Raw genomic sequence first — 8,553 nt, 5'->3', positions numbered from 1 at the left:
TTGTGTCTCATCTCATTGTCATCCTACAAATCATCTTGACACATTTATTTCTGCTTCTCCAACTTTAATTTCTAGGATGCTGATATGGTTTGGCTGTGTCCCCACCCAAATCTCAACTTGAATTGTATATCCCAGAATTCCCACATGTTGTGGGAAAGACCCAAGGGGAAGTAATTGAATCATGGGGGCTGATCTTTCCCGTGCTATTCTCCTGATAGTGAATAAGTCTCGTGAGATCTGACGGGTTTATCAGGACCTTCTGCTTTTGCTCCTTTCTCATTTTTCTCTTGCCACCACCATGTAAGAAGTGCCTTCCTCCTCCCGCCATGATCCTGAGGCCTCCCCAGCCATGTGGAACTGTAAGTCCAATTAAACCTCTTTTTGTTCCCAGTTTCTCATATGTCTTTATCAGCAGCATGGAAAGGGATTAATACAGATGCTGTGTTTAAAATTCAACCTGACACATCATATTTTCCTAAGAATCAAGATGGAATTGCATTAGCCAGAGGTGAATGTGAAGATTACTGTGGATTCAGCGAGGGGCGGAAGTGTAGAAATGAGAATGACTCCAGAGTCAGACAGACTGGGAAAAGATGATGACTGCCATTCACTAACTGAGGCCTCAGGTTAGGCACTTACCTTCTCTGAGCATCAATTTGCTCATCCACAAAGCGGTAGTAAAGGATCTCAAAAGAATGCTGTGAAGATTAGATGTATATTGCATGCAAGTTCCCTAGCAAAGAGTTAGGGCTCAATTAATGCCACTTTCTCCCCCTTTAAACTTATTCAGTTCTCAAGATGATCTCTGTGCCCACTTGCCTGGAGGAATTTTTTGGGCCCACTGGAGCAGGAGCTGGTATTAAGAGCATCTTTCGGTACTGCAGAGAAGGAAATTCTCACGGCTTAAACTTGGAGTGAGAGAGCTCGAAGAGGAGGCAGGAATCTTGGGAAAAGAAGAAAGGGGTGGTGAGACAAGAGGCAGTTTCTAGCATCATGGGGAGGGGAAGAGGAGATCATAACAAGGCATTGTGATGGGGAAGAAAGAGCTGGAGGAAAAGAAGGGAGCAGGCAGAGTGAGGCAACCAACCAAAGCAGGGAAAGCAAATGACTGTCACCACGCGGGCCACCATCTCTACACGGTGGGGGAAGCCAAGCACCTCCTCAGACTCAGCTCACAAGAAGGTGACACTGCAGGGGAAGGCTCTGGGCAGCCCTCATCAGGGTCCAGGGCCCCCAGCCAAGAAGAAGGAGCCTCTATGAAGTCCATTCCCATGGCTAGGCTGCTGAACCCCTAGTGTGGAGACATATGGGGCAAAAGAGAGTGTCAAATGAAATAGGGAACCCAACTATCAGGCCTGGCTGTCATGTGGGTCTAAACTCCAACTACTTTTAATATAAGGACACAGATTTAAGTAAAAAATGGACATACCTCCTGCATGATAGTACTTACACTTACAGCCACATGGCACACAAAAACTGCTTAGTGCAAATGGAGATATTTGAGGACTCATTTCCATTATATCACCACTCCGCAGGGATCCACAGCCATGGGATTCAGAGCAACTCCAGGAGGGAGAATGAAAACCCCAAAATTTTTCAAGGGGCTCTCTTTTCCAGGTTTACAAAGGGAGAATTGGGGTCCTTGTGCCAATTCTTCCAAGGGAAAGGACCACCTCCTCCCTTCTCCTTCTGTGCTCCAGAGCAGTAGAATCTGACCCTCCTAATTACATTCTTGCCTCACTTGGATTTATTCCCATTTATTCCCCACCCCCATTCCCCCCTTTGCCAAATTCTTCTTCCTGACGAGTCAGGGATTAAAAATGCTTGGCATCCTTGCTGAATAAATAGTATTTGTCCACAGTGACACTGGTCAGTGGCAAACTGCCTTTGTTCTGTGATGAGAAGCATGAGCACACAACTTGCGAGTTGTCTATCCAGGACTCTGGTCCTATATGGGCATCAAACTCATGCCCTTGGCCTTGTTTATGTCCTGTTCCAGCTAGCTAGGCTGGCTTGCACAGAAGGAAGGAGTGAAGGTAGAGGGAGAAAGGGAGAGAAGGGGTGGGGGGGGGAAACTTGTGCTGGTTTCATACAAATCTTCTCCAGTTTAATCATACCTGTGATGTAGACAGAATTAGTCCCATTTTATAGATCCAGAGAAATTCAGTCAGTTGCCAGATTTGCAGGGGTTAGAAAAGCTAGAATTTGAACTCTCCTATTCTGAGTGGGAGCCTGTCATTCTTTGTGCCACATCAAGCCACTGATGGAAGTGAGCAGGCAGTTGACTGAAATTGATTGCCATTCTGCCAGCCTCCAAGCCTTAGGAAATGGCCTGCCTCAGATAGAATGGAAGTTGCAGTGGGCATCAGACAGCACTTTCCTCTTTCCCCTCGGCCTCTGGCGTCAGGCTGCCCCAGAGGGAGATCTGTTGTGTTTTCAGCAGCTCTGGAAGAGACATTTCTCCTGGAGTGGTGGACACAGCAGTGTCCTGTTATTCCCCTGCAAGTCCCACTGGGGTGTGGCAGCCATAGCAGGAATTGCTTACTTCCCTTAGCAGCCCCGATCATCGCATGTGCTCACATTAGCTCAGGAAACTCTGCCATATGGGCTTCTTACGTCTCCTGCCTTCCACAGCTTCAGGCACCTCTTCAAATGCTTTTTAATTCAGCTGGCGTTGTGGCTCACAACTGTAATCCCAGCACTTTGGGAGGCTGAGGTGGGCAGATTGCTTGAGCCCAGGAATTTGAGACTAGCCTGGGCAACATGGTGAAACCCTGTCTCTAGAAAAAATACAAAAATTAGCTGGGCATGGTGGTGCACGCCTGTGGTCCAAGCTACTCAGGAGGCTGAGGTGGGAGGATCACCTGAGCCCAGGAGGTTGAGCCATGATGGTGCCACTGCACTCCAGCCTGAGCAACAGAGTGAGACCCCATTTCAAAAATAAATAAAGTAAATAAATTCAGACTGTCATGAGCCATTCATTCCCAAAGATTCCATTTGTGCTTAAGCCCAATATTTTACAGACAGGATGAACAAGACTCAGAGAAGCAAAGAGACCTCCTGAAGGTCACATGGCAAGTGAATGACAGAACTAGGGCCAGAATCAAGGTCCCTGACTATTCTTCAGTCACTCAGCAGACATTCATTGAGTGACTAGAATCTGCTAGGCACCACTCCGGGTGTTAGGTGTCCATTGCTGTCCTTAGAAGCAAGCTGCGCTGCTCTGCTGGGGCTTCCCTTCTCCCCTTTCCTGGATGCTTTTCATTCCCAGCCCCAGAGTCTAACCCCGAGACCTCCAGGGCCACTCACCACAGCATTCCTGAAGACTTAGAAGAGGTGCTTTTGTGTGCAGCCCTTTCCTCCAAGACCCTGGAATGCACGTTCGCAGGACTTGCTGATTTATAGCCATGTTGCCTTTCAAAGAATTCCCTGGCCTGCGTTAAGTCAACAGATTTGAGAAAAGGCTGGTTAAAAGTTCTGTCACGGGAGCCAGTTGTTCCTTGTGTTCGCAGGATGCTTTCTTTAACCCTGGGTCCTGCTCAGGCCAGTAACAGCACACCCTGGGCCTACAACTGCTCAGGATCTGTGTGTAAGACATGGAAACTCTGTCATATAAATGTATTTAGTGCTCCTCCCTCGAATAGCCCTAAGCCCTGTCATATAAATGTATTTACTGCCCTTCCCTCGAATAGCCCTAAGCCTCTATTCTCTCATTTATCATTCTTTGTTTTTTACTGCCTTAATGGTTTTTGTGATCATATTAGCCTATTTTCTATTTTTATCCTCTTGTCATTCTGCCCATCAACTGAGAGCAGTGGCCATATCCTGTTTGTACATGCCGACCTTTCTGAAAACAATTCATTCATTCATTCATTCATTCATCCACCCACCCATCCATTCAACAATCCTGGCCCTGTCCTGGGAACTGAGGATGCAGCAATAGAGAAATAAAGATGGCTGCTGCCTGCCAGGTGCACTGCCCAGATCCTTGTTCAGGGTCACTCTGCTCATTCCCCAGCTGCCAGGATTGTTACTGGCTGATGACCCACATTGAGTCCTCCCTATGAATTGCCCTTGGCCAAAGGGAGCTGTGTCCCCTTCCTGGGGACACTCTGCATCCAATGACTGGCTGATTTGGGGCCCGCCCCCTTTGTCTCAATTCAGGACATCCCTGAAGCACTTCCCCAGCTTCAGGGCTCCCCTGGGAATCAGTGGAGACCTCTGTTGCAACTGAATCACAGTTCAAGTCTTCTCTGTGCCCAATCTTGCTTCCTTCACACCCTGTGGCTGCTGTGCCTGAGAGCACCCACCGCCATAACCCTCCTTGCACACAAATCTCCAGCTCAGAGTTTTGTTCCCAGGGAAGTCATCCTATGACACCTGCTATCATGAAGCTTATATACTAGGAGTGATAGAAAATAAACACAAATAGTAACACAGTTATGTGAAAAATTACATTGCTGTGGGAAGAAATAGAGTGGGGTCAGGGGATCAGGAATACAGATTGGGAAGATGATTAATTTTTCATATTCAATAGAATGATTGGACTGGCATCTCTGAGAATGTGACACTTGAGCAAAGACTTGAAATTAGCAAACTGAATGTCCAAAAGCTTCTGAATCCAAAATTGAGCCTGGATCAGTCAGGATTTCCCAGAGAAACAGCACCAATAGGATGTGAATGTGTGTATGTGTGTGTGTGTGTACATATATGTGAATATGTACATGCATACACACTCAGATCTGTTTCAAGGAATTGGCTCATGGGATTGTGGAGCCTGGCAAGTCTGAAGCCTGCAGGGAAGGCCAGCAGCTGGAATAGGTGGGAGTTGATGCTTTAGTCTTAGGGCAGAATTTCTTCTTCTCTGGGAAACCTCAATTTTTGCTCTTAAGGCCTTCAAGGGATGAGGTGAGGCCCAACCACATTATGAAAGATAATCTGCTTTACTTATAGTCTACTATTTGTGAATGTTCATCACATCCCCAAATACCTTCACAGCAGCACCTAGGTTAGTATTTGATTAAGCATTGGGTACTATAGCCTAGCCAAGCTGACACAGGAACCTGACCATCACACCTACTCTGTCCCACAGGTACATATCCCAACACCTTTCCCTGCTTTACTTCTCTCCTTAACACCCATCAAGAGCTGACATTCTGTATATTTTACCCTCCCCAGTGTCTTACACCAAGCCCACTTCATTCATTTATGTAGTACCTGTTTATTCTCTTGAAAACATATAAGTTGGTAGCCTTCCAGTGTGAGTATCCCCAAGAGAAAATACGCATCAAAAATTAGGAACTTAGAAATGATAGTTGAGGTGGAGGAACTTCCAGCAGTGGCAGCTCAAGTGGCCAAGACAAGGTGGGTCAAAGTCAGGGTGATGGTCATGGTCCTAGACGTGGCAAGAAGGATGAAAAGGACAAGAAAAATAAGTACTAACCTCTTGTACCAACTAGAGTGGCGGAAAAAGAAGAAAAAACAAAGGGACAAGATGTTGCCAGTAAACTGCCACTGGTGACACTTCACACTCAGTGTCGGTTAAAATTACTGAAGTTAGAGAGAATTAAAGACTACCTTCTCATGGTGGAAGAATTCATTAGAAATCAGGAACAAATAAAACTATTAGAAGAAAAGCAAGAGGAGGGAAGATCAAAAGTGGATGATCTGAGGGGGACCCCAATGTCAGTAGGAAACTTGGAAGAGATCATCGATGACAATCATGCCATTGTGTCTACATCTGTGGGCTCAGAACACTATGACAGCATTATTTCATTTGTAGAGAAGGATCTGCTGGAACCTGGCTGCTCGATTCTGCTCAGACACAAGGTACATGCGGTGATAGGGGTGCTGATGGATGATACGGGTCCCCTGGTCACAATGATGAAGGTGGAGAAGGCCCCCCAGGAGACCTATGTCAATACTGGGGGGTTGGACAACCAAATTCAGGAAATTAAGGAATCTATGGAGCTTCCTCTCCCCCATCCTGAATATTATGAAGAGATGGGTACAAAGCCTCCTAAAGGGGTCATTCTCTGTGGTCCACCTGGCACAGGTAAAAACCTTGTTAGCCAAAGCAGTAGCAAACCAAACCTCAGCCACTTTCTTGAGAGTGGTTGGCTCTGAACTTATTCAGAAGTACCTAGGTGATGGGCCCAAACTCGTACGGCAAGTATTTCAAGTTGCTGAAGAACATGCACCATCCATCATGTTTACTGATGAAATTGAAGCCATTGGGACAAAAAGATATGACTCCAATTCTGGTGGTGAGAGAGAAATTCAGCAAACAATGTTGGAATTGGAACTGTTGAACCAATTGGGTGGATTTGATTCTAGGGAAGATGTGAAAGTTATCATGGCCACAAAACAAGTAGAAACTTTGGATCCAGTACTTATCAGACCAGGCCGCATTGACAAGAAGATCGAGTTCCACCTGCCTGATGAAAAGACTAAGAAGCACATCTTTCAGATTCACACAAGCAGGATGACACTGGCCAATGATGTAACCCTGGACGACTTGATCATGGCTAAAGATGACTTCTCTGGTGCTGACATCAAGGCAATCTGTACAGAAGCTGGTCTGATGGCCTTAAGAGAACATAGAATGAAAGCAACAAATGAAGACTTCAAAAAATCTATAGAAAGTGTTCTTTATAAGAAACACGAAGGCATCCCTGAGGGGCTTTATCTCTAGTGAACCACCGCTGCCATCAGGAAGATGGTTGGGAGATTTCCCAACCCCTGAAAGGGATGAGGTTGGGGGAGTTGCCCAGAGGAATCCCTGTTCCCATTGATTTTTATTAGCAAAGCATCCTGTGTGTATTTTGGAGTACGATGTGTGAGTGCCCAATGGGTGGCCTTCATCTGTCGGTCACTGTGCAGCACTCTGCTTCCAAATAAAGCATGCTCTTTCACAAAAAAAAAAAAAAAAAAAAAAAAAAAAAAAAAAAAGATGGTTGATGCTGAACAAGAGGTGGTCTCAGGTGGGTAACATGAAAGTGCTGGTTAATGTCCCGAGTTAATGGGTTCAGAGATTTCAAAGGAAGATGAAAATTTGACTTGAGAAGGATTTTTTACCTTTCCAAGGTTTCATCTGACAGAGCAAGCCACTTGGACACAAAATGAGTTTATAAGAGCAGCAAACAGAACCAAACCTGAAAGCATCGCCAGTCTCTGTGTTGGGTCCATTTGAGCACCTTGATGCCAACTCTTTAAGCCTGGGTGGGAGGCAAGACTACCTAGAGTTTCTTTACTTTTTAAGTATGTGCAATCTGATGACCTCTTCTCTCTCATCAGGTTCAGCTTTGTCTGACCAGTACCTAAGGCAAATGTTGGCCTCACAAACTTTTCCAAACACCAAGCATTTAATAAGAGTATCAACTCTGGCTCATGCAAAAGTGAATGACTAGTAGAAATAATGGGGACAGAAACAGAGGTGTTCTTGTCATCCGATCATCCCTTTTCCTGGAAAATTTGAATATTTTCCATAAAATTATTATACAGTTATTCACTTTAAAGCTGTTCTCAAATGTCCATAGAGGCTCAGTCATGAACGGATATTCATTGAGGCTTCACACTGTCTGGGCATGTCAGGAACCATCCATGTAATAAATAGACATGAGCACACATCTATGAAAACTTAGCTGGTTACTCAAGACAGTGTGTCCAAGCATAACCTGGAAATTCGTCCCATGAGGACTCAGAAGCAGGAAAGAAAATGTCACTGTTAACTGATGTGCACAGAAAAGGCTTCATTGATGGAAGAAGAATAGAACTCAGGCAGAGAAGAGGAAAGAAGGGCCTCTGGGTGGGAAGGCACCCAGAGCAAAGGCACCCAGGTGGGAATGCGTATGCATACTAGGATGCAGAATTCTCTCCATTATACCTAAGGGTCAAGGAGGTGGGAGCAATGTAAGAACCGAAAAATGTTTTCAGATGTAGAATTAGCATATATAAAGGAATAAGATTTTTTTCTGATTTATAAAAATATTCCTGAAGTTATTCTAAAATTAAGCAACATTTAGTTTAAGATCTAACGAATCACTCTTTTAGAGAAGAAAATAATTATATGAGAAAAGAATCCTCTCCCCTCATTGTATGAGCTGTTAATTCTCCATTGTTCTCTGCGTGTTGGTTATTTATCTATTGTCTCTTGGATCCAAGCCCACCTTTCTATACTCTGCTCTTGGATATGGTAAGCCATCTGGTTCATTTCCCCTTAGATGCTGCCGGCAGAAGCCTTAGAGTGTGACTGGAGGTTGGGAGGAAGGAAAGGGACCCTCCTTCCTGGTCTTTGCACTTTCTGGGAGTGTCTCTCCAGCAGCAGTATTGCTCCAGCAGCATAGTTGGCTCCAGCTTTCAGTAGCCCCAGAACCAGCCTCCCATTCCCCCTGGCAGGCACTAGCAACAGCCAGGCGATGCCCATCTCCAGGGGGTTGAGCTCAGTCAATGGGTCCGCCTCTGAGCCACTTGGTTCTGCTAACTCTACCTCTTGACTGTTGTTTCCCCAGGCCTAGAGTATGTAACTGATTTGTCAAATTAATTTTATTTTTT

The 8,553-nt window shown here is 45.3% G+C and overlaps 1 pseudogene, besides 1 other annotated feature; it reads left to right on the top strand.

Moving 5' to 3' along the window:
* Nucleotides 1,916-2,519: an enhancer, noted in NCBI's record as "H3K27ac hESC enhancer chr5:55575301-55575904 (GRCh37/hg19 assembly coordinates)". NCBI's record gives its function as "activates a minimal SCP1, AML or CMV promoter by ChIP-STARR-seq in primed H9 embryonic stem cells {active_cell/tissue: H9 hESC(primed)}" and the evidence as "EXISTENCE:reporter gene assay evidence [ECO:0000049][PMID:30033119]".
* PSMC1P4 (proteasome 26S subunit, ATPase 1 pseudogene 4) lies at nt 5,367-6,918 on the top strand (annotated as a pseudogene).

This window comes from Homo sapiens, chromosome 5 (assembly GCF_000001405.40).
Source record: "Homo sapiens chromosome 5, GRCh38.p14 Primary Assembly".
In the NCBI taxonomy this organism is placed as follows: domain Eukaryota; kingdom Metazoa; phylum Chordata; class Mammalia; order Primates; family Hominidae; genus Homo; species Homo sapiens.
This window is presented reverse-complemented; position numbering and strand designations above follow the sequence as displayed.